Source organism: Homo sapiens, chromosome 16 (assembly GCF_000001405.40).
Source record: "Homo sapiens chromosome 16, GRCh38.p14 Primary Assembly".
Classification (NCBI taxonomy): Eukaryota; Metazoa; Chordata; class Mammalia; order Primates; family Hominidae; genus Homo; species Homo sapiens.
The window spans coordinates 56,329,673-56,355,578 of record NC_000016.10 but is presented as its reverse complement, the minus strand read 5'-3'; the positions used below and the strand labels follow the sequence as shown (position 1 = coordinate 56,355,578).

At 57.9% G+C, this 25,906-nt stretch overlaps 1 protein-coding gene across 4 annotated transcripts in view, besides 2 other annotated features; it reads right to left on the bottom strand.

Annotated features, from left to right (window-relative positions):
* The window catches only part of GNAO1 (G protein subunit alpha o1), a 165,956-nt gene that overhangs the window by 1,866 nt on the left and 138,184 nt on the right, over positions 1 to 25,906 (bottom strand). For 2 of the 4 annotated variants that reach the window (NM_020988.3, XM_011523003.4), the window contains exons 5-8: positions 20,722 to 20,850; positions 18,719 to 18,848; positions 4,042 to 4,195; positions 498 to 713 (exon numbers count right to left, since the gene is read on the bottom strand). In NM_020988.3, coding sequence (NP_066268.1) covers positions 526 to 713; positions 4,042 to 4,195; positions 18,719 to 18,848; positions 20,722 to 20,850 — 601 coding nt within the window. In that variant the 3' untranslated portion in view covers positions 498 to 525. Of the gene's footprint in view, positions 1 to 497; positions 714 to 4,041; positions 4,196 to 7,379; positions 11,817 to 14,591; positions 14,746 to 18,718; positions 18,849 to 20,721; positions 20,851 to 25,906 lie in introns of those variants that run through there. The other 2 variants (XR_007064866.1, NM_138736.3) reach the window with 2 other exon arrangements.
* Positions 6,652 to 7,152: an enhancer, noted in NCBI's record as "H3K4me1 hESC enhancer chr16:56382339-56382839 (GRCh37/hg19 assembly coordinates)". NCBI's record gives its function as "activates a minimal SCP1, AML or CMV promoter by ChIP-STARR-seq in naive H9 embryonic stem cells {active_cell/tissue: H9 hESC(naive)}" and the evidence as "EXISTENCE:reporter gene assay evidence [ECO:0000049][PMID:30033119]".
* Positions 9,533 to 10,220: an enhancer, noted in NCBI's record as "H3K4me1 hESC enhancer chr16:56379271-56379958 (GRCh37/hg19 assembly coordinates)". NCBI's record gives its function as "activates a minimal SCP1, AML or CMV promoter by ChIP-STARR-seq in primed H9 embryonic stem cells {active_cell/tissue: H9 hESC(primed)}" and the evidence as "EXISTENCE:reporter gene assay evidence [ECO:0000049][PMID:30033119]".

Below are 25,906 nucleotides of genomic sequence, written 5' to 3'. Positions count from 1 at the left end.
GGGCTTCGGCCATTTCTGAAAGGGTCTGGAATTTGCCAAGAGCAGGACGGAACTGAGGGCGCAGAGGCTCTAAGGGCGCAACACAGAGAGCTGGCTGGGCCAAGGCCAGGGCTGTTCTGCCATTCACCTGTTCTCAGAAATGGGGCTGAGAGGAACACCCCGGGGCTATCCTCAAAAGGAGGGACTCCCAAACCAAGCTCCCATCTGGACATGTGTGAGTGTGTGTACACACACACACGTGCATGCTCACGTGCCGTCCCAGGAAAACCTCCATGAGCTATGGGATGGTGGTCAGTTCTGTCCGCAGCTCTTTCTAGTACAAACTAAAAAGATTTTTTAAATATATATTTGTATATATATATATATATATAAGGTTTTGTTATGCCTCTTTAAAGTTTATTTACCAACTTGCATTTGTTAGTGGTGTGTGTGTGTGTGTGTGTGTGTGTGTGTATGCGCGCGCACGCAAGCTGTTCTGTGGGTGCTGGAATCATTACCAAATAGGTTGCTATACAGGACAAGAGGTCAGTACAAGCCGCAGCCCCGGAGGTTGTTGGCAATGATGATGTCGGTGACGGCGTCGAACACCACCTGGATGTTATTCGTGTCTGTGGCACAAGTCATGTGACAATATATTTCTTTGTTGGGTGAGCGGTTTTTGCTTTCAAATTGTGCTTGGATGTAGGCGGCTGCGTCTTCATAGGTATTGGGGCCTGTAACAAGACACAGAAGAACGGGGAGAGGCCCTGATGAGCGCTGTGGGTGGACAGGGCTGGGGACATGAAGACAAGAAGTGGGTTGTGGCGTGTCCCAGGAAGTGGGATGAGACAGGAAGGGAGCAGTAGGAACTGCTGGGCAGTTCCAAGCCATAGTTGCATTTTAAATTAAAGAACTATTTTTTTGAGACAGAGTTTTGCTCTTATTGCCCAGGCTGGAGTGCAATGGCACGATCTCAGCTCACTGCAACCTCTGCCTCCCAGGTTCAAGCGATTCTCCTGCCTCAGCCTCCTGAGTAGCTGGTAATACAGGCGCGTGCCACCACGCCCAGCTAATTTTTGTATTTTTAGTAGAGACGGGGTTTCACCATGTTGGCCAGGTTGGTCTCGAACTCCTGACCTCAGGTGATCCACCTGCCTCGGCCTCCCAAAGTGCTGGGATTACAGACGTGAGCCACCACGCCTGGCCTTGCCATTACTTTTGATAGCAAAACTGCAATTACTGCAATTACTTTTGCACCAACCATACACAGGCTGAGCATTTGCCTGGCTTTGGACTTTGCAAGATCTCTTACTGTTTTCACACCAGATCCACCCGGAAGCCCCGCCTGGGACAGCAGTGGCCACAGATGAACGCTTTTGCTTCCTAGATGAGCAAATTGAGGCACCGCCCCATGGTCTAAACCAATCCTGCTGATTCCAGTAAACCATGAAAACAAAGTCTGGAGAGGGGCCTGCCCAAGAGGGTGGTGGGCACTCAGAGGGACCTGCACTCCTTCCTCATTGGTTTCCTTTAAGAAGAGGCCACTTGGCAGGGCTGGCAGCATATCATTAGTAGGCGTGGTTCTTAAGCGAGTGGCCAGGACATTGGGGCATTGATGTCCCCAAGGTGGGAAGTTTAAGGGGACATCAGCATGTATGATGCCAACTGGGGGCCCTCTGTCCCCACCAATTCCTTGGGTGTACAAGGGGCAAGGGGCAGGGGGTTGGGACAGCCTTGGGTGGGTTGTCATGGCTGAGACCAGCTCTGGGCAGCCCAGCAGGAGTGCCTGGACCCACAGTGCAAAGCCTCATCCTTGATCCACTGGTGCAGAGATGCCAAGCCCACAGCACAGCTGTTAAGGATTGGACAAAGCAGCCCGTGTGGACCCTGCCCAGGAGCTTCCTGTCTGGAGAGAGCCGAACTGGGCACAGCCCAGGGTGGAAGGTGGCCACAGGAAGCCGTCCAGGTGGGAGGAGCGCCTCGTGCCTTCGCTGTGTCTGCCGAGCCCAGCGTCCTCACACAGCCCTGCTGCCACCCAGCCATGCTGGCCCACACGTCCCTTAGACAGCCGGCCACCTCCCGTCCCACCCCTGCTGCTTGTTTTGTGCCCTCACAGGTTTGCACTCCATGGGGCCACTGCACTGGTGACCATCTGTCATCCATGATACCTGAATTCAAACTGGATTCCTCTGAAGGCCCTGGAGAACTTGTTTCTCAGGTTCCAACTGCCCTTCGCTGGGGCATCTAGTGCTTGCACTCCACAGCAGTGAGACTGGCCACTCCCAAGTCAGGCCCCAGTGGGACACTGGGCAAGAAAGAGCCGTAGGGTTGGGCCTGTCTCTGAGGGTAGCCCTGGCCTGAGGGGGCCTACTGGACTCCATCGTTGTGGCTGGGAGAGGTCAGGAGTGGCTGCCAGAGTGGGCTACAGCCTGGCTCTGCCCAAGGGCCACCTGGGGCTGGCCTTTCAGGGCTTGTCCTGTGCCCTCCTGCCCTCACTCCATCCTGCAGAGGGCACCTTCTCCGTGGCCAGTTCCCCCTCCCCTAGTTTCCATCCTCTGAATAATACCAATGGCAGCCACAGCCAGCACTTCAGTAGACCTGGCACCAAGCAGCTGTCCTTCCAGTCACCCTTGGGGTGGGCATGATTACCCATTGTGTTGACCAGATTAGAATGAGGCACAGATGACTGAGCAACTTGCTGAGCTGCAGGTGGTCTGGCTCCAGAGGCTACCTGGGCTCTCTGCCCTATTGGGACTTTGCTGGAGAGCCTCGAGTGCAGGGCACAGTTCCTGGCCCCACCTCCTGCTCTGCACCTTGGGAAGGGCAAGAACCTTGCAAATTCACATTAGCACGGACCATCAGTGAGGACACGGTTTGTGCTCAGAACAAGCTGACAGCCCTTCTTCACACACTGCTCCCAGCTGTGGGGAAGGGTGGGGAGACCAGCATCGACCTATGCTGGATGTAGGCACCCTGTGGCTGAGCTTGGGGACCCGTGTGGCCCTGAGACTGAGCCCATGCCCAAAGCCTTACTCCAGGGCTGTCAGAACATGGGTTCCTGGCCGAGCCAACCTGTGCCCTGACCTGGCGGATGACAGGACACCTCCTCCTCCATGGCAGGGTGCTGGCCCTGTGCACTCTGTAGTCTGCAAAGGCAACTCCTACCCCAGGGACCCCTAGAAGCTTCCCAGCCCCTAGAGGGACCAGGGCTGGGCTCTGGCATCCCATCAGTGCTGCTTTTAGGCATTAGCAGTAGCCCAGAGTTGGCCCATTCCACGGAAGCCACCATCCCTCATCCATCCATTTGGAAAGAGCGTCATTGAGCCGGGTGGGGGGGAAGGTCTGTGACACATTCCCCTGAGAGCAAGAAGAAAGCCCCAGAGAAGGCAGAAGAAAGGGAGGCAGTGATACAGGAGGCTTGCAGATAGCTGGAGTGGTTGGATTTGGGGCAAAGACCAGGGACGAAGGAAGAAGGGGAGAGAGGAGGCGCAATGGGGCTGGGGTTGGGGAGGGAGGGCAGGCACGATGTGGGATGGGTGGAGTGGTCTGGCTGGGCGGCTGCACAGAGATGAAGCATGTTCCGGGCACCAAAGCAGGGAGCAGGGAAAGCAGGTGGGGCCAAGAGGCAGTCCAGGCCCTGTTCACAGGCCACGTGTCCACTTTTCGGTTTCATGCAAAGGTGCTGTGGGGCTCTGGGCAGGGGTGAGGGGAGGCCACTGCTGAGATTACAGGAGGCTGTCCTGAGACCTCTTCTAGAGGGTGACCAGGAGGAAGGGGGAAGCCTGTGATCCTGTCCTGCCCCCTGCTCCCCACCACTCCTGAGTCACTTGGTCCTAACACATATATCTTAGGAGGGGCCATTTCCACCACGCTGAGGGCTGTGTCCTGGGAAGCCCAAACCTGGTGGCACAGCACTGTTTTTCTTTTGCGCCCCACCAGTCTCCTGCAATGGGTCCCGCTCGCCAGCTAGCCCCAGCAGTGCTGGCCGAGCAGCCTGTTCTCTGAGCCATGGGTCCCTGTCAGGGGCAGGCTTCCCCCTGCACAGGACTGCCTGGCACCCACCTGTGTATTCAGGAAAGCAGATGGTCAAAGGTGACTTCTTGATCTTCTCGCCAAAGAGATCTTTCTTGTTGAGGAAGAGAATGATGGAGGTATCGATGAAGAACTTGTTGTTACAGATGGAGTCGAAGAGCATGAGAGACTCGTGCATGCGGTTCTGCGGCCGCAGGAAGGGAGGAGAGAGGACAGACAGCGGGAGGGAGACACAGAGACAGGGAAAGAGAAGGAGAGAATTAGGCTTGACAGAGAGGGACTGGGCTACTCGGCAGCTCCTCCGAGAGGCTGCCAGATGGAACCTGAGTCAGTTACACCTCACAGCACATCTCATTCCCTGCTTCCGGAGAACCCGTCATGTCGGGGCCAGAGGCAGAGACTGGACTGGACACCAGCCATGGCTCTCTGGGGAGGCTGAGGACAGGGTGACCCGGGCTCTCCCCACTGCAGAGTTCCCAGCTATGTGAGGGTCTCCCAGCACACGTGTGTGTGGCTGTGTGCATGTGCCTGTGTGTGTGTGCATGCACCTGTTATGTGTGCCTGTGTGTGTTCGTGTGCATGTGTGCCTATGTGTGTGCACCTGTGTGTGCATGCCTGTGTGCATCCATGTGCTTGAGTGTGTGTGCGTGCCTGTGTGTGTGCCTGTGTGTGTGGGCGTTGGGGGAGTCTGGACCGGAGCCGGAGAGCTGGGCTTTGGCCCTTCCTGCCTAGACCTCTCCTCCTGGGCCCATCCTGGGTAGGGGGATGTTCTCTGGGAGTGGTGAGAGACTCCGGGCCCTTCCTATGGTCTCAGGGGAAGGCATGCCAGGTCCTGCCAGCATCCTGGGTGCCACCACTCAGGGGAGAGGCTCCTGGCAGGGCCACCTCCAGGAGCACCTGGGGGACTGGCCACACCTCCTCTGGCTGGGTCCTACTCAGCTGCATCTGACACTGCATGATGTTCTAAGCAAGGCAGATGTGGAGGGCTGCCCTGCACACAGGAGCCTGTTTAGCAAATGGATGAACGTGATGGGCGCCCCACAGATGCCGAACGGGGGCAGCCTCTTGCCCTGGGCAAAAACTCTGCTTTGGGGCGCTGAGCTCATTCACTTGGGCAGAGTCTGTCTCTCAGCAGCACAGAGGGCATCTTTCTCTGTGAACGAATCCATTTCTGCACAGGGAGTGGGAGGAAGGGACAGTTTCCCTTATTTTCCCCAAGAACCCTGTCCTAGCCCTGGGAACTTGCTCACTGTAAACCCAGCTCTCTGGATCTAAAGCCCAGAGGTGAACCAGGCTAAACTCTACCTCTGAAATAAGAAGAGTGACACAAGTAACAAGAAAAAGAAGACAGCTGGTGTAGATGCCACTGGGCATCTACGGGGAGATGACCTCCTCCCCCAGGGGTGAGCACACCGTGGGTGCTGAGGAATTGCTGGTCCCACTGCCACACCGCCCCCCTCTGAGCAGAAGGAGGGCAATGAAGATGAAGTGACCACACCAGTCACTGAGGCCCACACTGTGCCAGCGCTCTCCCTGCCCATGTCACTTAACCTCATCTGGCCTGAGGGGACACCGCGGTGACACAGCTGGGCCAGATCCAGAACTTATGCAATGGGTCTCTCCAGTCCATATCAGCAGGCTGTGGGGCTTTCGAGGAATCGATACTAACAGCAGCATGGCGGGCTCCGTGCGTCTTACGGCCAGTCCTCCCTTCAGTATCTCCCCCGTGCCTACATCATTCTACCATGACCTGTAGAGGCGGCCAGCCCCAGCCCCTGGTTCCTATTAGCTGAAGTTGGTCGGCGGAGGGCAGCGTTCTCAGCTGCCTCTCAGGGGCACCTGGACAGCTGGCATGGCGTTATTCCCCACCCCCCAGGAGCTGTAGTACACGGCACTGCCCTTTCATTCTGCTAAACAGATTCAGTAAACTCATATGATCTCATCACTCTCCTATCCTCAATCAGTAAATTTCATTCTGATTCCCCAGGAGCATTTCCCTGTCATCTGTGTGATCCCTCCGGGGAGGAGCAGGTCTCGCTTGCCCTGAGCCACCTCACTGGGATCTGTTCAGAAAAGGGCAGCCGGAGGCTTCTGGGAGGCCCAGTGAACCTGTGTCCAGGGCCTCGGGCTGTCCACACTCAAGCTCATTGAGCCACATTATGAGGCCAGAGTGGTGAGGCTCTGAGACCCCAAGGATTCCACAGGAACATGCTCCCCACTCCACAGAGCCACCTTGGCCTGCAGCTGCCTAACAGAGAGCTGGAAACCCACAGCCAGAGCCAAGCTCCCTCCTCCACTGCACATCTTCCCAGGCACTGCCAGGAGCAGCCACTAGAGTGACCTGAGCTGGGAGTGGGGACTGTGCCCCCTTGGCCACTGAGCTTAGGTGTGGAGGAGAAATCAAGTCCGGCTCATTTAGGCTCCACAGTTCCACTGGTTAAGGCTGAGCCCCCGCCACAGCCCCTACATCTCAGGGCCACAGAGCACGACTCACACCACACTCGCTCCTCCAGTCAGTACTGCCTGGCATCTGTGTGCAGGGCTCTCTGCTGGGCTGCCCCGAGGATGTAAGAATGACCACATCAGGCTCCTGCTCTCCGAGAGCTCAGAGTCCAGCTGGAGAAAGATGATCACAGTCTGTGGTCCCAGGAGTGGCAGTGCAGGGGAGGACTTGGGGAGCAGAGGACAGGCATAACCAAACCTGGTTTTATGGGGAGAGGGCCTTGGAGGGAGCCCCAAAAGGCGGCTGATCCTGGAGACTCGGGGAGGGCAGTGAGGAGGGGAGATCCTGCAGGGCAGGGGAGGCGCCGGCACTGAGACCCCTGCCAGCCCCCCAGGCCTGACTGCCCTCCCTCGGCACGCTGCCTGGAACCCATTGCCAAGGAGCTGAGAGCACAGCTCATCCTTACAAGCTCCCCAGAGGAAGCAGACGCCGGGGTACATTCAAAGAAGAGATACCACCATTTGAGAAAAGAGAAAGAAGTCAGAGATCATAGATGGCTGACAGCCAACCCCCTAGACCTCCACCTGCCCCAGGCTGCAGTGGAGGCCCAGGAGCAGCAGGAAGCAGTGCCAGCGCAACCATGGCCACTGCCACGTCACCCACAGCAGTGTCCAGGTGGCCACCAAGCTCTCCAGGACAGGAAGGTGGCTCGGCGCAGAACGGAGCAACTTCCCACCAGATGGCGATCCTGACAGGGGGGCAGGGCGCCCAGTCGCCCTGATCCTCTGTCCCCAGCAGGAGTGTGCCCACTCTGCCAGGCTGCCAGCAGTCCTGGGACCAGGATGGGGCAGGGCCCGAGGACACACATCGTGCAAGTGCACCTGGCAGGAGCTCCCTGGGCCCTGACAACACATCACACTCACGCTAGGAAAGCGGGCACTTTTTATTAACGGTAGGCGACTAATAAATACATTATGGCAGCCAATAAATTATTACAATAACTAGAGATTTATTAAACCAACAAGTCACTCTTCTTACAAAATTACAGTTAATATGGGGTGGGCAGCAGTGATGGGGTTGGGAGGTGGGACCACTGCACTCGAGAGAGACGGCTTTTCTAAGGAGGGCCTGGGACGCCCGAGCCCACCTCGCCTAGATGGGGGAGGGGGGTGCGTGGGGAGGAAGAAGATACTCAGCAGGGGCAGGGTGGGGGACGGCGGGCAGAGCCAGGGGATGGGTCAGAACCAGCGGAGTAGAGAAGACCAGGAGGCAGGAGGGGAGGGCCTGGCTGCCCAGAGCTGTGGGAGTAACAGGGCAGGTGTGGAGGGGAGGGGAGAGGAGGGAAAGGGAGGGGAGGGGTGGGGAGGGAAGGGGAGGACAGTAGTGGTGCCTCGGAGCTGCACTGCCAGGAAGTGGTGCTCTGCCAGGAAGGGCGGTGGGTCTCTGCTGGTGGTCTTGTGCACTGGGCCTGGGGATGAGAGCTTCTGTTCCAGGGGGAGCCCCTCTCTCATGGAGGGGATCCAGGAGTTTGGACTGGGGGCCATTCTTTCTGCTTTTCCCCCAGCCTGCCCCTTCTTTGACAGGGGCCTTCATCTGGCTGCAGTGGGGTCTGTCTGGAGGCCCCAGCTCCTCTCTGGGCAGGGTGGGGTCAGGGGTCAGGACTCTTCTTGCTGAGGGGTGGGAGATGGGGAGCCCTACCACAGACCCCACGGCAGCAGCTCACACGCCGGCCCTGTTCCCTGGGCTGCTGGGATCCTGCGCTCTAGGCTTGCGGCCTGACAGCAGGAACTGCCTGGGGGTGACTGCCTTCGGCACTGCACACTGAATCTCTGGTGGCCGCGGAGCTGGAGCCTCAGGTCTGGGTTCCTGAGAACTGCCAGGTTTTGCCTGAAGGCTCCCAGAGGCTCAGAGAAGAGAAGAGGCAGCCAGAGGAGGCTCTGTGCCCCAGACTTCTTGAAAAGGAGGAGGGCAGGCCACTAGCTGACTTGGAGGAAACAGTCCGAGTGCTCATTAAATATCCACCTGGGACTGCAATGGACTCACTTGCCAAGAGTGCACCAGGTCAGACTGAGAAATAAAGGGGGTGGCCAGGAAGGATGCAGGCTAGAAAAAGGAAGAACTTCCTGAATCAACCCCTGGGTGCTAACTGTAGAGTGTTAGGTGGGAGCAGGGGCTAAGCTCCCCACTGCAGGACTCATGTTGGCCAAAGGGAAGGGCATGGGTGAGACCATCCCTTGGCCTTCCCTGCTGGGGTTTATAGACAGCTTAGTTACAGGGCTTGCAAGTTGGAACTTGGGGCTGCCTCTGCTCCTAAGAATACTCAGAGAAGACCAGTGCAGACCATGGAGGGCAGGGATGTGTCCAGTTCCTGCCAGTGGGAGCTGGGCTGTGGGGAGGGCCTGGGAGACAGCTGCGTCCTGGCAGCAGGTATGGTGTTGTTCTTGTGCCTGAGCTCTAGGGTCCCCATGGAACCCAGAATGCCAAAGCTGTTGGTCAGGGGCCCAGACTGTGCTCTCTGCTTGGGGCTGGGCAGACCCCACACCCTCCTCAGGCCAGAGAGCCTTGGGGACCTCTATCAGTGCTCAGAGGGAAGGCCAAGACCTGGTTCTTAGGATGGTCAGCGGCGCAGGTCACAAAACTGGCCCATAGGCATGAAAGTGGCAGGCACAATTTTCATGAGTTTGGCAAAGACGCTCTTCGTAGAAATCAGTTTCTGCTTGGCCTGCTAAATCCGAGCCATCGGAGAGGTTACCATGGCCCCTCAGGGCACACGCAGGACCACTGTGGATTAGAAACCCACACGTGTCACTCGCAACATTCCTCCCACATCCACATCCACGACGGAGCCAAATCTCATTTGTCACCCTCAGTCACCACCCCACAAGATGGAGCCGCTGGTTACGACATGGATGACAGGTGTCATGCACAGGGAGAGAATTTCTCCCCGGATACCCCTGAGGACCAAGGACCACCCCCAGGCTAGGGTGGGAGGATTGAGAGCAGTGCAAGAAACCAAGGAGGATGGAGCATCCAAAGGAAGAGAAAGGCAGGCTGGGGATGGAGGGCAGGAAGGGCTGAGCACCCACTCCTCCAGCCCCAGTTCTAGGGACAGGGAAGGCCTGGATTGGAGGCCTGGACCCAGCCTGGTGCTCTGGCCACTGTGTTCTGAGGGCGGCTGCTGGGGGACATGGAGAGCCCTCCAGCCCAGTGACTTCCACCTCCAGGGTGATGGCCTTAGAGGTGGGGCGTGGCCAGCATCCCCCTTTTGCCGGCTGCTTCTGAGCCTGGGGTTACAGTTCGGAGCAGAGTAAGCGGAACAACTGGCCTCACCCAGCGTGGTGCTGCTGAGAAATAACTGCCATGTCTTCTGTGTTGGGCGGGATGGCTTAGCTTAGCTGGCCCTGGCTGTCCATGGTAGGACACTGTTGGTTCCCAGGGCCTGTCCTCTGCCACGTCCCAGCACCTGGTGCAAGGTCCAAAACATGACCGAGGTGAACAAAACAGAGGTGGACTTGGGCTGATGGGGTGGCTCCTGCAGTCCGGCTGCCAGAGGCTCCCCAGGCACCGGTCCCTGCAGGCATTTGGCACTAGGGAAGGTTCCTGGGTCTCCTGGGCACCACTCAGAGCTCTGTGCCTGTGGGTCCAACAAGTCCAGAGCTGTTGGCACTGGTGCTTCCCGGCTCTGGGGCAGTCCGGGGGCTGCAAGTGGAAACCCAGGGGCCCTGCCTGGCTGGGGACTAAGCAGTGTCCAGAGTGGGGGCAGGGAGAACAGAGGGCTTGAGGAGGGAGGCAGAGGCCTGTCAGTGGGTACCCTCCTCCCTCCCATGGCACATCTAGGTCCCCAGGCACAGCCTGCTGTACAAGCACACGACTGGCCTGGGTGTGGGCGTTGGCCTCAGCCACCTGGAGGCATCTTGGAGTGGGAGAGGTGTGTTGGTTGCCCAAGGCCAGCCAGACCTGCGTCACCGTCACCGGGAGAAGCTACCCCGCCCCCTTCTGCTCAGGGATCTCCGCAGTGAAGCCTCCTCTAAGGAGTCCTAGGACTCTCCCTTTAGAGTTGGGGACAGGGGGGTGTGTTTGTGCTGGCCTGGGTCCAAATACTCCAGGGTGTCAGCTCCATCCCCCTGCTGTCCTCTGTCCCCAGGGGCTGGGAAGACACCAACGGCTGTGAACAAACTCGCTGATTTCTTCACCAAGACGGTGAGGCGGAGGCACTGGCTGCAAAAGTCCACCCCCTCTAGACCTCTGCAACCACAGAATCCCCAGCCCAAAGGCCTTTGCTGGTTTGAGTTGAATTCAGTGTGGACTGAAGGAAAAACATATCTATTCACACCTCAGAGTGACCATCCGAGCTCCTGGTGACTGGAAAAAAGAAATGGGTCACCCTTTGGCCTGCGAGGACTGGGCGGGAGGCCCCAGCCCAGGTGACACAGGAGCTTCCACCTCCCTTCCCCGCACCTCCCATCTCTCCCTCCCCCCGCTCCACGCCACCATCTATCTGAGCCATAAATCAGTCTCAAGAAGCATTTCCAGAACTCGGAGGAGTCAGGGATGGGAGTTCTCTGGGAGAGCAAAGGCAAGGGAGGATGACCCAGAGAAGGAAGGGCTGAGACCCAGGGGAGGGAGCAGGGAGACGGAGGCCATCGCCAAGGCCTGAGTCCTCCAACCCACACCAAGTTGGCCTGATCCCACCCTGGCTTTTGTTGACGGAACTGCCCTCCACCAGAGACCCCAGGCAAAGCTGAAGGATGGCTCCTATGACCCCACCCTGCCAGCACCCTGCTGCAGGGCCATCTGCGCCCCTGCACCACCCAAGATGACAGGAGGACACTCCGAGGCTTCCAGTGAGTCATCAGGTGCAGGGTGTGCCCATCTGGGCCCTGCCCTGTCCCCCCAGCTTCCCGATCAAGCACTCAGAGATGACACAGAGGCTGTGAGCGTGGAGTCTCCTGGCCTTGCAGCATGCACTCAGCAGCCCCGCCCCGCCCCTGCGTTACCACAAGTTCTGTTGGGGGGTGCGGGTGGAGGATGCTCCCTCCTCCCTCCCTTGGTGCCAGCCTCTGAGGTCTTCTTCCTCAAGTGCAAAGAGTGGTCTGAGAGTGGTGGAGCCTGGTTCCAGGGGAGGGGGGGCGGCAGGCCAGGCAGGGCAAGGGTGCCGGGCAGGGCGGCTGGGCTCAGTAGAGTCCACAGCCCCGCAGGTTTTTGGCGATGATGACGTCCGTCACAGCATCAAAGACAAACTGGATGTTGTTGGTGTCCGTGGCGCAGGTGACGTGGGTGTAGATCTCTTTGTGGGCTGACTTGTTCTTGCTCTCGTACTGGGCCTGGATGTAAGCCACGGCTTCTGTGAAGGCGCTGGGGCCTGCAGAGCAAACAGGCAAGGTGTGGTGAGGCGAGAGGCCCATGGGACTGCTTGGCATGGACGACCCCAGCCTGGCCTGTGTGGCCATCCGGCCTTGGGCCTCTCAGAGACAACTGCACAGGGAAAACCTGATGGAGGGGACCTGAGGGGTCAGCAAAGTTAATAGGGGGTCCTGGATCCAGTCAGTGGGACAGATCCAGTGTAAAAGTCATGAAAGATACAAAATATCAGGTCTCCCAGTATATCACTTGTATTTATCTTTTTTTTTTTTTTTTGAGATAGGGTCTTGCTCTGTTGCTCAAGCTGGAGTGTGGTGGTACGATCAGGGCTCACTGCAGCCTCTACCTCCTGGGCTCAAGTGACTAATACTCTCTTCTCAGCCTCCTGAGTAGCTGGAAACCACACCTGGCTTATTATTATTATTATTATTATTTTTAATACAGATGGGATCTCACTATGTTGGCCAGGCTGGTCCTGAATTCCTAAGCTCAAGTGATCCTCTCATCTCAGCCTCCCAAAGTGCTGGGATTATAGGCGTGAGCCATTGTGCCCGGCCAATCACCTGTATTAAAAGGAGCACGTTTTGTGAAACTTCCATTTTCCTTTTATACATGCATTTATGGACTCCTCTTTTTGTTTTTCTTTTTTGTTTGTTTTTTTTTTTGGAGATGGAGTCTTGTTCTGTCGCCCAGGCTGGAGTGCAGTGGTGTGATCTCAGCTCACCGCAACCTCCGACTCCCAGGTTCAAGTGATTCTCAAGTAGCTGGGATTATAGGTGCGTGCTGCCACGCCCCACTAATTTTTGCATTTTTAGTAGAGATGGGTTTTCGCCATGTTGGCCAGGCTGTTCTCGAACTCCTGACCTCAGGCGACCCACCCTCCTCGGCCTCCCAAAGTGCTGGGATTACAGGTGTGAGCCACCATGCCCAGCCATTTATGGACTCCTAAGGCAAATGTTATATCTTATCATGGGTCATGAGCAAGGAAGTTTGAGGGCACTGGGCTCATGCAGGTAGCCCTGGTCGATGCACACCCTGTGGGTGGGCCTTTTCCTTTGGGAGTCCACAGAGCAGGCCTTGATATCACCTCCTGTGGCCACTGCTGGGCCAGATGGGAGAAGAAGCCTATAAACTTCTTGTTTCTGCTGTCCACTCACAGGGGATTAACAACCGCCTGGCTCACATGCTGCCTTCCTCAGGGGGCAACACACTGAGCTGGTTCTCAGGTAGGCTCAGGGAGAGGAGAGTCTAGGAGAGAAGCTTCTAGTTTGGGAAGGGGCAGAAGAACAGGACCCCAGCTTTGCACTGAAGGCCCTCAGCCTCCAGGAATCCATGCCAGGTGCAAGCAGGGCTGTGGAGGGGGCAGCAGGGAGGGGAGCTGGAGTTCAGAGCCGCAGCTCTAAGCTGGAGTGGGCTGCTGTGCAGAAAGCCTGGAGGGCCTGCCAGACCTCAGCTCTTTGCTCAATCTGGGCTGGAGGTTGGGGAGTGTCCTAGGACTGCAGCTGACTACTCAGCCTCCCTTGTCCCCTCCTCCTTCCCCACTCCAGGCCCACACTGGCCTTGGTAACTGACCGACCCCACCTGTTTCCACTGCCCCACAGGCCACAAGCCCGGGTCACTAGGGCAGGATCCACAGGCCCTCAACTATGGCTAGAGAGGAAGCTGGCTGGGAGCTTCCAGGGAGGCTGAGCCCTACTCAACTCCAGCTGGACATGCCTGGGTCCTGGCCTGCCAGGCACTCAGCCTGATATGGGGGGATGGGCGGAGGCAGGAGGTAGGAGAGCTGTGCTGCTTGCCTGGCCCCAAGCCCCCGGGATGCCCCACTGGGACTCTGTCTGCCCCTGCTCTGTGCCCTCCAAGGCCTCAGGGCAGGTCGGGCTGAGGGTGCCCCACTTCTCCTCCCACTCACTTCTCTGGACAGGGTCTGGCCATCTCAGAAGAGCTGATGGGCACCCGAGCTATGCTGGGGCCCTGTAACCGCTCTGGTGTCACTGACCAGAGCTGCCAACCTGCAGCTCCTCAGGGGCCCTGGTCATGCTGCCCTCCTGGCTGCCCGCCCACCCCATGGTCAGGTAAACCCACCACAGCACTGGCAGGGCTGGCCTCTCATCCCCAGCACCCTATATAGGGGGCCAGGGCTCTGCTGCTTGCAAAGCTCTGTGATTTGAGTCTTGCAGCAGCCCCGTGTGAGTTACAGGCATAACCCTAAAGGCAAGAGCAGACAGGCAGGGAGCGCTTCCTATGTGCGGCACCACGCGAAGCTCTGCGTGCCCATCAGCTCATTCCCTCTTCATAGCACCTGGTGAGGGAGGCGAGGGCAATCACAGCCATCACCCCATCTCACAGACCCAGAGACTGAGGTTCAGAGAGGCTGCATGACCTGCCTGAGCTGCTTGTGAGTGGCGGAGCTGGGGCATAAACCTTGGGCTGCCTAACTCCAAGCCTCTGTGCCCCGCCCCTCATCTTCTCGGCGTTTGCTCGTCTCGTCACAGAGAGCCCCTGTGCGCAGACAGTGGAGCTCAGGCTCCCAGAGGCCGCCATGGTCACACAGCTCGTAAGTGGCAGAGCCAGGGCTCTACCGGCTTTCCCTGATGAGGAAGCCCCGGCTAGCTGCCCCTCCTCTCTAGAGCACAATCTGGGGGCAGGGTGGGGGACCGTTTGTGTGGATTCTCTGTGGCAGAGTCAGGGGCATCCACAGAGCACAGGAAGGGTGGACTGGGCTTTGGGAACGGGGCCCGCTCCCTCGGGGGCCTGCTGTCCCTGGAGGGGTCTCTACCTGTATATTCAGGAAAGCAGATGGTGAGCGGGGACTTCTTGATCTTCTCTTCAAATATGTCCTTCTTGTTAAGAAACAGGATGATGGACGTGTCTGTGAACCATTTGTTGTTGCAGATGCTGTCAAAAAGCTTCAGGGATTCGTGCATGCGGTTCTGCAACAGAGTGGAGGGGTGAGTGAGGGGCGGCAGCATCCAGGGCCCTGACCCACCGCGGCCAATGACACAGCGGGACAAGCAAAGGGAAGGTCCACCAATGTGGCTGGATGCACCACCGGGACGGAGACCACCAGGACGGAGACGGGAGGACCCACAAGGACAGACGGGACGTGGTCCTGTTTCATTCCACACGCAGGCAGGGCGGGGCGGAGCAGGGCCGGGCAGGGTTGGGGGATGCTGCCCCCTTCCAAAGAGAGCTGGCCCCAGGTGGGGGCAGTGAGGTCACTGGAGAGGCTCCAGCTCACGGAGAGGACATGCACCATGCACGTACAGCGCAGGGGCCGCAACCACCACCGAACGCATCTGCGCGGAACCCTGCTCATGCAGATTTCTCTACCAGGGTCTCATTCGGTTTTGACAGCAAGGTTGGAAGGGTGCACGCATTCAGTTGGGAAACATTAACTGAGGACTAAGAGATCCTCGAATTAATCCCGAGTTGGAAGCAGACACCAGGGAATAGCGTCTCGGGGGTGAGCTTGCTGTGGCCTTGGTGTGGTTGGTGGTCTCGTTGGTGGGCTGGAGCGGGGGAGGCTCTGGGAGAACTGGTTGTTGGGGCTGGTTTCTCAGTAGAGGGGCCAGAGGAACCCCAAGATGAAACACAGCAAAACAGATGAAAACAGAGAAGATAAAAACCCAACAAGAGAAAGAGAGAAAAATACTGAAAAATTGGTTCAACCAGTCTCAGGGCCAGGGCATCCTGGCTAGCTCCTGCAGAGAGCCCGGTGCGGGCTCACAGGGGCCATGGCCATCCTGGGCCTGTGGATTGCAGGGCAAGAGATGCAGGATGGGTGGGATGAGCCCAGGCCAAGTGGCTGGAGAGGAGTGTGGGCGCAGGGGCGGGCTGGGCAGGCATCACAGCAAAGTCACCCAGCGGTGCCCTGAGAACCTGCTGCTTTCAACTCTTAGCTGATGGATTCAGTTGGAGGGAGGTGCTTCATACCTTCCGGGCTTGGAGGGTCTCTCAGAACTGGTTTTGGCCTTGGTTTGGCAAGATAAGGCCCTGCAGGCAGTGGAGGCGACCGTGGTAGTGGAGAAGCTGTGGCAGCCGCAGGCCCGGCTGGGCGGTGCTGAGAGCAGGTACGAGGCCAGGACCAGGCTCTCGGGCTCCCGGGATGCAGCGGACAGGGCGGCTGGATGGCCAGTGGCAGCCACTAGCCCCAGGGCTCTCCTGGCCTGGCTCCAGAAGCTGCTTCCAGACACCTTTGTTGCAGGCTCTCACCCCAGGCCAGAGAGGGATGCACAGCGCTGACCAGAGAGGATGGCTGAGGACCAAGGCCTGAGTTCCTGGGGCCTGGCTCTTGCCTCCCTGAGGCAGACAGAGCTCCCACATCCTAGAACCTGACCTCTAGCCATGGCATCTGAATGTTGTAGCCACAGGAGCTATTCACTGAGTGATGATTCCTGTGTACAGGCACTTTTACAGCTTTTAGCCCGGTGGTCCATTCTACCATTGTCACCATCTACAGAGGAGGAGGTGCAGGCCCGGGCAGGGTGGGGCGGTTGCCCATGATCACACAGGCGGCAGGGGTGATGCTAGACCCTGGACCAGATCTGTCTGACTCCCAAGCTGTCCACCTCTGCATGCGCCCCCAGCGCACGGCGATGACTGCTTAGTTCTACAGCGCCAGTATTGTTCTTGCTGCCACCACGGCAATGAGCTGCCTTTGTGGCTGCTGTCAGGTTGCAAAGTCATCCCCATTCCCTGCACGAGCTGCTACTCTTCCCCGGGCTGCAAAGGTGGCCAGCCTTGGGGAAGGAAGGACACAGGAAGAGCCTGCCTGTGACCTTGGCTCCATTTGCTTTGGCTTCTCCAAGGTCCTCTGCTCCAGCCCTTGTGTGGAAGGGTGGGGGAAATGGGGAAAAAGGGAGGTGAGAGAAGGTGGAGAAGACCGGAGGGCAAGTGCTCCAGGCAGCAAGGCCCGCAGGCTGGAAGGTCACCCAGTGCCAGGCCCAGCACCAGGCTCATGCTCACTGGGGACCCATGGGCTGCAGAGCTCAGGGCCTGTGGCTGCTAGGCTCACCCAGACGTCCCTTGCTTCCATCTTCCAGAGGTGAGCGAGAGCCCAGCCCCATGGCCGGTGGGCCTGGGACTTGGGTTGAAGCCATCCACAGGCCTGGCAGGGCAGGTCCAGGGAGAGGCTGGATTCCAGGGGGAAGGGCCCTCCTGGCTTCCTGCTTCTAGCTCCTTTGCTCTCTTTGAAACCGTGGTGGACATGGGGGAAAAAAGATGAGCCAAGTGGAGCTCAGACCCCAGGAGTTGGAGCAGTGGCCGTAATAGCATAGAGTCTAGCAGTGGGGAGTGGGAAATGTCTGGGTAGTCACTGTGAGGGGCACATGGCCAGGAAGCTGACCTGGGCTTTGGGTGGTCAGTGAGTCTGGGTCCAAGCACGGCCCAGGAAGCGCATCCACCCTTGCCCCACTCAGCATCAAGACTGGGCTGGTGACTGACATCACTGCCTGCAGATGCCATTGAGAACAATTACAGCAGAAACCCAAGTCAGGGGTACAGGTGGGCCTGAAATAGGAAGAGTCAGGTGGGTAAGCCTGTACACGGAACGGGTCCAGACTACCCACACCACCAGCCCAAAGCCCCATCACTCTGTGTAAGCCCCTCAGGGCGGCGGCTCCTCCTCCCTATAGCACTGTGCCCCGTAGCCCACACCCCAAAGTTGATCCCATCCTCACAAAGCCCAGTGGACCAGCTGGGCCAGAAATGACGAGGAAACAGACCCAGAGAGAGGACAGGCCTCGCTCAAGGCCCAGCATGACAACAAGCCCCACCTCCAACCTCAAACCCTCGGTGCCAGCCTTCAGAGGCGTGGGGTGGGGGATTTGCATGTGTTCCAGACAGAAGGAGATGACAGACGCCAGGCTGTGACCCCATAGCCTATGGGCCCCGCTGTCAGGAGTGTTGGGGCTTGTCTCCAGTGACCCTGTGGGCCATGCTCGGTGCCTGGCGGGCTGCAGCCCAGAAGGGGACCACGCAGTGGACCTGCAGGCTCAGGGCAATCACCAGCAACTGTACAACCACCAGCTTGGCGCTGCTGTCCCAGAAACAGCTCCAGAGCGCTGCACACGCATCACCCACCCCACTGCCAACAGCCCCCCACAGGCAGGTACTATTATTATCTCCCTTTTATGGAAAATAGTAACTGAGCCAGAAAGGGTGCTGCCTAAATTCAGCAGCAAGCCAGTGAGTAGCAGAGCCAGGACTAGACCCAGAGGAAGGCTGCACTCTCCCAGGGGAATGTCCCCTCACTGAGGCCCTAGGCTGAATGTGACGCAAGACAGAAGGTAGGAGCCTGGTCTGGCATTTGGCAAAGGAGCCCAGAGCCACGACTGTCACTCACCAGCATGCCTCATCCCCATTGCCCTTCCTGGCCCATCAGCCCCACACACTGCTCCCCAGCACCCCCAACCCCACGCAACTCTCCTGCAGCATCCTGGGCCCTCCCCACCTCTCCCTCAGCATCCCCGGCCCCATGCTGCTTCAGCAGCATCTGACGCCAGTGCCCCAGGGATGGCTGTCAGGCTAAGACTGCTATTTCTGTTGCCTGTACATTCTTGCTTGGCTGCCTCCTGGTTTTTTTAGGGTTTGCTTAAATTTGCTATGGCCTGATGGCCTCTGTGACTCCACCAAGTTTATGGAAGAGGCACATTCTGCACGGCTCTGTGTGATCAGGTTGCATACACAGGCTCTGCCACACTGGCATCATGAGGCATTTGCCTTGGCAATACAGAATTGGTGGAGTGCCGGCACGGCCTGTCCATGATGGAAACCTCTAACCACAACAGCTGGCTGGACCCCAGAGCCATTGTGGGCACCCGAGGCCCAGTGCTCAGAGGGCTGGCCTATCCTGCGGCCGTCTCCTCAGCGCTGCCCCCTGCCCGGGGGGCCCAGGCCACTCACCGTGGTTTCGTCTTCGTGGAGCACCTGGTCATAGCCGCTGAGCGCGACACAGAAAATGATGGCCGTGACGTCCTCGAAGCAATGGATCCACTTCTTGCGTTCAGATCGCTGGCCTCCGACGTCAAACAGCCTGTAGGAGGCAGGGAGCTGGTAGGCGCAGGGTCCAGGCAGGTGAGGGCTGCCTGGGGATTAAGCTGTGAGCACGCTGAGAGGCAGAGGATGGGGGCCATGGTGCTCAGAGCCTTGCTAAAAGCCCTCACTAGAAGACCTTGTCACTCCAGGTGATGACAGACAGCTGGATCACTGCCATCCCCAGGCACTACCCCTGGAGTCTGTCCTGGGACTGGCTGTGCTCACAGATCATGACTCAAAGACCTGCCCTTGCATCTGAGGAGCATTTTACTAAGAGGGCGCACCTGAGCCACCCCCAGGAAGTGCCTCTGAGAGTCCTCCTCGCATGAGGACCCTCCTCTCAGTCTATTCCTTCCTGGGTTTGCTCTGGGCAAACTCCAAACCAGCCTGGGAGGGAGGCAGGCAGGAGATGTCACCTGTTATGTGGATGGCAGAAGTGAGCCACCCATGGGCTTAGGACATGCCCAAGCTGGCGAGAGTCCAGCTGTGGTGGAGCTGGGTCTGGCTGTGGACAAAGCTGGCGCTCTCACCTCTGCCCAGTACGGCCCCTTTCTGGCAGATCAGAGCCTGGCCTCTTCCCCCTCTCAGACTCTACTCCCGAGGGGGCACAAAAATTCTGGAAGAGACTGTGGGCAGGTGGGACTTACGTCCTGGAAGTAAAAGGTCAGTCTCCCACCCCAATCCCCAGAGCGAGGAGTCCTGTAGCCTCCTAGATCTGGGATGCCTGCTGACACACAGCCTGCCAGAGGGGGACAGGGAAGGATCTCTGGTCCCACCGGACACAACGGAGTGACTGCAGGCAGAGATTAGTGTGGGCTCAGAGCAAGGAATGGGTCTGGTTCTCATTCCATCAATCAGGGGATCCTCCCCTGGATCCCACCTCCCCATCTGAAATGCAGGGGCGTTGGCAGATGGCCTCTGTGGCCCCTCCAGAATGCTTATTCTCAGACCCCGCCTTGCTGGGCTGGGTTGAGCTGAGATCCCCATCCTGTGCTCCCAGTGGGGGAGCAGGAGAGACCAAGGAGCCTGGGAAGGCAAGAGAGGCCCCTCAGGGCTGCTCTGCCCAAGGTTTTGCTCCCCAGATCTGCGGAGGCCTAGGGGTTCCTGGGCCCAGAGCCTCGGCCCCTCAGTCTGAACAGGAGCGGGCAGGAGTTGGGGACATGGGAGGCAGGGAATATTAGAATCCAGCTCTCCCAGCAGGGGTCCCTGCCCTCCCCTTCTCTGCTGGCCTCTCTTCCCCACAGGACGGAGCAGGCCTCAGTGCACGCATGTTACTGCAGGTGGGGACACAGCGCTGCAGCAGGACCCTGGGAACCAGCTCACCCGTCAGGCCCCTGCTCTGAGGCCCCAGAGCCCCTGGGTTCTAGCTGTGCTCTGTGCCTGGGAAAAGCCCTGCTCTTGTCAGGCCTCAGCTTCCCAAGCGTACTAGGAGAGGGTGGGTCAGCTCTCTCTGCTCCTTCCAGCTCTGGGATTACTTGGGTCCTCAGGGTCTCACAGAGGTAGCTTGGGCTTACCCAGCCCCACTCTTGGCTCCTCCCCCCAAGGTGACCTTGGAAGGGCCCCCTGGTAGCCCACCTCCTCCTCCTCCTTGGAAGTCACCTCAGGGACAGGCTGCCCCTCCTTGTCCAAATCCTCCCTGTTCCTCACAGCCCCACTCTGGGAATCTTCTTCCAGAAAGCCTCCCTGCTCACTCCAGCCCCTAACCTTGGCAGAAACACAGACAGGTTCCTTCTAGTATCTAGCTGCCTGCCCCAGCCCGCAGGTTCCCTGGGGCAGGATGATGTTTGGGCGCTGTAAACGCAATGCGCTGAGAGGCTGGGCATGTCCCATCTTAGCCCTCGCCAGGGCCTGGGGGCCTCTCTGGGCCTCACCTGAAGTGGAGGTTCTTGAATGTGAAGTGGGTTTCTACGATGCCAGTGGTTTTGACCCTGGTTCGGAGGATGTCCTGCTCGGTGGGCTGGTAGTCGGCGGCCCCAATCCGATCCAGGCTGTCCAGGTAGCTGAGGATGGCAACAAACAGGGGACTATGGACCAAATGCCTGGACACTGTTCGGGACTGGCCAGGCCACCCATCTTCAGAGTCCAGTCTCGGTCAGGGCCCCTCCAGGTCACTGTGGAAAAGACATCACCTCCATTCCAGGCCATAGGGAGTGGGGGCGACTGAGGAAGTGGGTCTTAGGGGTCTTGGCCTCACGCACTCATTCACAGCCAAAAGGGCTACGCATGCAGCTCCCGGGACACTCAGACAAGATCAAGCTTTTATATGAGACTACCATGTTTATTATAATACTGTTTTGTCATTTTTTCATTTAAAAGATAATAATGGCCAACAGATAGGTTCTATTCTTTGCATGTGTAACCATGTTTCATGTGTAATTTCCCTGAGTTAAATGTACTAAAACTGGGGCTCATCGAAGGTAAGTACCTTGCCTGAGGCTGTGACCCGGACCCTTGGCTCCAGAGGCCATAATTTTATTACTGTCTGGGGCTTCAGCGGCCCCTGAGCAGTTCCCTGCCTTCTCCACACTTCCTTCTCACTTACCAAGGGGTCTGTGTGCCCCTTCCAATTTGATGCTCTTGGAGGCTCAGGGCTGCACAGCCATACAGCGGCTGGGCCTCCCTGGGACCCGGTCTTTGGAATCAGGGCTCTTTACCCCTGCTACCTCCTGCTGTGGGGACAGACCAGGCTTTTGCAAGTCACCTGCCCAGGCCTCAGGCCAAGCACTCAGAGGACGCTGCCTGCAAGGGCTTTGGGGTTCATTGTGGGTTAAGTTTGAACCTAAAGCCAGGGTAGGATCTGGGAAATCAGGAAGTGGGGAGCTGGGCCAGGCCTGAAGGAAGACTCAGTGATCCATGGAGCCTGCCAGGCCACCCATCCCTGCTGCCGGGGCAAACCACAAGCAGCCCACAGGGAGGAGCCCCAAGTGTCTGAACCACAGAACGATGTGGGGTCCCAGGCTGCATCTGCTCCAGGACCTGCTGGGGGCCAGCTTGCTGGCTGGACCTGCAGTTACCACTGCATGAGAGATGGGCATGCTGACCAGCTCATGGATGTCCACAGGGCTGGAAAGGGCAGATGACTTCGCCAGCTAGGGTGTTCACTGATAGAACCCAGTGACAATCCTTGTGAGAATGCCCCTAAGAAAAGAAAACAGAAGGGTGGCTTCCAAGGCTCAGGGAGGTAAGCTTGAAGTCACACTGCGAGAAAATGAACTTGGCAGCCGGGTGCGGTGGCTCACGCCTGTAATCCCAGCACTTTGGGAGGCCAAGGTGGGCGGATCATGAGGTCAGGATTTTGAGACCATCCTGGCCAACATGGTGAAACCCCATCTCTACTAAAAATGCAAAAATTAGCTGGGCCTGGTGGCAGGTGCCTATAATCCCAGCACTCAGGAGGCTGAGGCAGGAGAATCGCTTCAACCCAGGAGGCGGAGGTTGCAGTGAGTTGAGATCGTGCCACTGTACTCCAGCCTGGGTGACAGAGCAAGACTCTGTCTCGGGGAGAAAAAAAAAAAAAAGAAAAAAAGAAAATGCACTTGGCTGGGATTCCAGCCCAGTTCTGACTGGCTCCAGACCCCACGCTCTTAAACTGGACATCATCAGCATTTTAAAAATCCAGAAAAAAAATTTAAACAGGACTCCTGGCCTCCTCTCCTGAGCCTGACTGCCCTCCGTGGACAGGAACGGTGTGGGGATGGGGTGAGAGAGCCGAGGCTGCAGAGCAGACCTGTACACGCCCCCGGCCTCACAGCCTCCTCGCCAGCCAGTGGCATCTGGGCAGGCTCTGGTCTCAGCCAGAAGGAGCCTCTCCCAAGCCTCTGTGCCTGCCCCGCCCTGGCGCCCATGACCTCTGCTTCCAAGCTGTGAGGACGCCCTCTGCTGTCATCTGCAGCTGGACACCAGCCTGGAAGCGTTTGGTCCTGCTCTTCCTTTCCCAGCCAGGGCAAACCTCCTTTAGATGGGCAACCTGGCCCTCTGGCCTCTCTGTGCTGGCCGAGCCTCATGCAAGGAGACGGCTGTGGAGGGTGGGCAAGGTGTGGGAGAACTGCTTAACAACCCAGTCGGGAAGGCTGACTGTGCACCTGCTGTCCATCCCACCTAGCCACTGTTCCAGGAGCTGGGGATGGGGCAGTCGACACAGCCCCACCTTCCCAGGGCCTGTGTTCCAAGTGAGTGTGCACACGTGTGTGAGGTGGTAAACAGAAGAGTCAGAGAGATGATATGTCAGGAGGTAGTGTGAGAGAACGAATCAGGCTATTAGTGATGGGGGAGAGCTGCTGGGGGCTGCTATTTGATGCAGGGTGGTTGGGGAAGGCGTCTGGATAGGGGAGACTGAGGGGAATGAGGGAGCAAGTGGGCCTCGAGTGGCCCAGTGGAAACACTGGCAGGCATGGCGGCAGGAAGCACACGTGGAGGGGCCAGGTGGTGGGTGAGGCTGGGGAAGGTGGTGGAGGTGAGGGTGGCCAGAGTCCGGCTGGGGCAAGCAGGCCCTTGAGGTCATTGTCAGGGCTTGAGCTTTTGCTCTGAGTGAGATGGGAGCCCCTCGAGGGTTCTGGCCAGAAGCATGTTGACAACGGCCCTGTTGCTGCCATGAGAGCAGGTCAGCGGGTGGGGCCTGCAGAGCTGCTGTCGTCACCAGATGGCACTGGCACAGTGGGGGTGGCTGTGGAGGGTGTGAGTGGTCAGAATCTGATGTACCTGCCAGGGGAGCTGCATCTGCTGGTGGCCTCGGTGTGGGATACAGGAGGACGAGCAGAAGTAGAGATACCTCCACGTGGTGGAATGAGACACATTTAGAGGGAGGGAGGAGCACACAGAGCAGCTTCTAGTGGGAGGATGGGAGCCAGGGGTTCCACGGGCTCATGTTAACTTGAGACTCATTTGATGTCCAAACAGGCACTGAGTAGGCAGAAGTCAGGAGGGAGGGCTGGGCTGGCGATATGAATTTGAGAGTTGTCCAAGTGTACAAGGTGTTTAAAACGAGACAGGAGAAGGTCACCAGGCACCAGGCCTTGAGAGGAGGTGCTTCTGGGATGGAGCTTGGGGACGGGATACAGCAGCCCCCAGCAGACCTCCCCCATCACCAGTTGCCTGGGTGGGTGGGCAGGAGGCATCGAGGGAGTCTGGAAAGGGCGGCCCGAGAGGAGGCGGGGGCTGGGAGTGAAAGGAGGTACCAGGTACTAGGGGACTGAACCCTGAACCCTGAGTGGGAGGAGGCTGATGGAGCAGCCCCCAGGATAGGACTGGGCTATGAGCCATCTCAGCAGGCGGAGGAGCAAGAGCTCGATAGGAGTGGGGTCAAGAGAGAAGGTGAGGAGAGGAAACGTCGGACGCCAGCATGGACAACTCAGTGGGGAACTGGATTTGAGGAAAGCCAATGCCAACCAGGCCCCAGAGCACCTTTCACAGCCCCTGGTTGGATGTGCCCAGGGTTTCTGGGACCTGCCTCTAGGTAGTTATCCAGAAGGGAGAGCCAGCCCTGTTCACAGAGGCCGGGGTGCACCAAGAGCCTGCTCAGGAGCCTGTGCCCTGGTCCCTCCCCTGTAAAGGGCTGGGCAGAGAAGTGCTTTGGTGGTTGGGGCATTAGGGTGTCAATGGCACCCCCTGGAAGCACGTGCTGTGGCAGCCCTGTGAGTCCTCCCTCTCCTTTCCAGCACAACAAACCTACTCTGATCTGCTTTCTATACTGGGCCCAAGACTTTGTCAGAAGCTGAGGTCTAACTGCTAAGACAGGAAATGTGCCAGGCCCTTCCGGCCCTGGCCACCTGTGTGTCCCCTGTCTTTCCTGCCCTCTCCCAGAGGGGAGACACGGAAGGCCCAGCCACAGTGACAGAAGAGAATGGTAACATCATCAACCTGGGAAGTGGAAAATTTGAAAGAAGGCAGAGATGAGGCTGCAGGGAGGAGAATTTCCTCAGCTTACTTGGTGGGGAGTTGACAAATACTGACTCAAGTTTCTTATTTAAAGTTATAAAGGTAAGCACCGGAAGAACTAAAAATAATCCTGTAACTAGCAAAAAGCCGGAGGTGAAGGTGGAGAGCGATGGAAGGAAGGAAGGTGAGCTGAGCTCCCTCGATTCCAGAGTGGGTGGCAGTAAATACTATTTTGAGTCAGAGGATCAAGTTTTTCTGGATGCCACTGGGACAAATAAATGGAAGTGGGTAAAAGTGGGAGGGGCAGGGCTGGTGGGGGGAGTAGGAAGATTACTTCTCATTTTACATCCCTCTGCATTTGTTTAATTTTTTTTTGGTAATGGATTCATGTTATAATTAGTGAAATGGGTAAAAATGTAAGTGGAGAGCAGAATTTGCTGAGCCACTAGAAGACAGATTTGGGCCAGCTGGCCCTAAAGGCCCTTGAGGGTCTTGCTGGCCCTCGGGGAGGAGGCCCTGGACTCCAGGGCAGGGACAGGGAGTGGAAGAAGGGAGGAGGGCAGCTGAAAGTCACTCTCTCCTGCCTAGCTCTGGTCTGTGATTTGTGCATACGGAATGGTGGACACTGAGCTTCTGGGCTCACTGCCCTGACCACCAGGGTGTCCCTGGGAGCTCATCAGGCCCGGGGGCCTAGGTAGTCATCACCTGGGACTCACAGGACTTCGGCATTTGCCCTCTGGACAATCTAGGTGTGCAGAAATGGGAAGCCGCTCCCGGCCTTGCTCAAGTCCCTAGTCTGTTGGCTGCCATGTGGCCCGTGGAAATGTCCAGGAGTGAACATTGGCCTCAGCCTCTGTCCATTGGCATTGCGTAGATCAGGGTTTCTTAATCTTGGCACTATGGATGTTTGGGGCCACGTAACTCTTTGTTGTGGGGGCCGTCCTGCACACTATGGGGTGTTTAACAGCATCTCTGGCCTCTACCTGCTAGCTGCCGGGAGCACCACTCTAGCTGCAGCCATCAAAAATGTCTCCCGATGTTGCTGAATGTCCCCTGGAGGCAAAAAGGCCCCAGCTGAGACCTGGTGAAAATGGCTGGACTGGATCATGTCAGAATCTTCCCAGCTAGTGGGATAAAGCTCAAGGGCTCCTTGCAGAAAGCCCCCACTGAATGTATGGGTAC